The sequence below is a fragment of the Homo sapiens genome, chromosome 19 (assembly GCF_000001405.40).
Source record: "Homo sapiens chromosome 19, GRCh38.p14 Primary Assembly".
NCBI lineage: Eukaryota > Metazoa > Chordata > Mammalia > Primates > Hominidae > Homo > Homo sapiens.
The window spans coordinates 42,773,890-42,775,851 of record NC_000019.10 but is presented as its reverse complement, the minus strand read 5'-3'; the positions used below and the strand labels follow the sequence as shown (position 1 = coordinate 42,775,851).

General features: G+C 44.0%; 2 annotated features.

The window, feature by feature from the left end:
• Positions 745-1,245: an enhancer, noted in NCBI's record as "H3K4me1 hESC enhancer chr19:43278759-43279259 (GRCh37/hg19 assembly coordinates)". NCBI's record gives its function as "activates a minimal SCP1, AML or CMV promoter by ChIP-STARR-seq in primed H9 embryonic stem cells {active_cell/tissue: H9 hESC(primed)}" and the evidence as "EXISTENCE:reporter gene assay evidence [ECO:0000049][PMID:30033119]".
• Positions 1,246-1,746: an enhancer, noted in NCBI's record as "H3K4me1 hESC enhancer chr19:43278258-43278758 (GRCh37/hg19 assembly coordinates)". NCBI's record gives its function as "activates a minimal SCP1, AML or CMV promoter by ChIP-STARR-seq in primed H9 embryonic stem cells {active_cell/tissue: H9 hESC(primed)}" and the evidence as "EXISTENCE:reporter gene assay evidence [ECO:0000049][PMID:30033119]".

The window sequence follows — 1,962 nt, the reverse complement described above, 5'->3', positions numbered from 1 at the left end:
AAAAAATTCATCAGTGAGTTAAATATAAGACCTATAACAATAAAAACATCTCAAAATAGACATAGAGGTAAATATTGATGACCTCAAATGTGCAATGGATTCTTAGATATGATACAAAAGCATGAGAAACAAGAAAAACAAGATAAATAGGGCTTTATCAAGATGTGAGCATTTTGTGCATCAAAGGAAATTATTAAGACAATAATTAATAGACATAGAATGAGAGAAAATATTTGCAAACCACATATACGCAGTTTTCATGTCCAAATAATATCAAGAACTAGCTACAACTCAATAACAAAAGGACAAACCATCCAGTTTATAAATGGGCAAAAGACTCAAATAGACATTTCTTCAAAGAAGGTATAGAAATAGTCAAGAAGGACATGAAAAGATACTCAACATCATTAGTCATTAGGAAAATACAAAGTCAAAGCTGCAATGGGACACCACACCACACCTACAAAACTGGCTACAATTCTTTTAAAATGTTAAATAACAAGTAGCAGCATTATGTAGAATTTGGAATCCTCATACATTGCTGGTGAGAATATAAAAAGGTACAGCCACTAGGAGAAACAGTTTTGCTGTTCCTCAAAAAGCTAATCACAGAATTCTCATTTGAAACAACATCCATTCCTGGGTATAGGCCCAAAGAATTTAATCCAGGGACTCAAACAGGTACTTACATGGAAATGTTGATTGCAGCATTATTCACAAAAGATAAAATACGAAAATAAGGAGTAGGAGCCAAGATGGCCGAACAGGAACAGCTCCAGTCTACAGCTCCCAGCGTGAGTGATGCAGAAGACGGGTGATTTCTGCATTTCCATCTGAGGAACCGGGTTCATCTCACTAGGGAGTGCCAGACAGTGGGCGCAGGTCAGTGGGTGGGCGCAACGTGCGCAAACCGAAGCAGGGCGAGGCATTGCCTCACTCGGGAAGTGCAAGGGGTCAGGGAGTTCCCTTTCCTAGTCAAAGAAAGGGGTGACAGATGGCACGTGGAAAATCAGGTCACTCCCACCTGAACACTGCGCTTTTCCAATGGGCTTAAAAAACGACACACCAGATTATATCCCGCACCTCTCTCAGAGGGTCCTACGCCCACGGAGTCTGGCTGATTGCCAGCACAGCAGTCTGAGATCAAACTGCAAGGCACCAGCACAGCTGGGGGAGGGGCGCCCGCCATTGCCCAGGCTTACTTAGGTAAACAAAGCAGCTGGGAAGCTCGAACTGGGTGGAGCCCACCACAGCACAAGGAGGCCTGCCTGCCTCTGTAGGCTCCACCTCTGGGGGTAGGGCACAGACAAACAAAAAGACAGCAGTAACCTCTGCAGACTTAAATGTCTCTGTCTGACAGCTTTGAAGAGAGCAGTGGTTCTCCCAGCACACAGCTGGAGATCTGAGAACTGCCAGACTGCCTCCTCAAGTGGGTCCCTGACCCCTGACCCCCGAGCAGCCTAATTGGGAGGCACACCCCAGCAGGGGAAGACTGACACTTCACACGGCCGGGTACTCCAACAGACCTGCAGCTGAGGGTCCTGTCTGTTAGAAGGAAAACTAACAAACAGAAAGGACATCCAAACCAAAAACCCATCTGTACATCACCATCATCAAAGACCAAAAGTAGATAAAACCACAAAGATGGGGAAAAAACACAGCAGAAAAAATGCAAACTCTAAAAAGCAGAGTGCCTCTCCTCCTCCAAAGGAACGCAGTTCCTCACCAGAAACGGAACAAAGCTGGACGGAGAACGACTTTGACGAGCTGAGAGAAGAAGGCTTCAGACAATCAAATTACTCCAAGCTATGGGAGGACATTCAAACCAAAGGCAAAGAAGTTGAAAACTTTGAAAAAAATTTAGAAGAATGTATAATTAGAATAACCAATACAGAGAAGTGCTTAAAGGAGCTAATGGAACTGAAAACCAAGGCTCGAGAACTACGTGAAGAATGCAGAAGC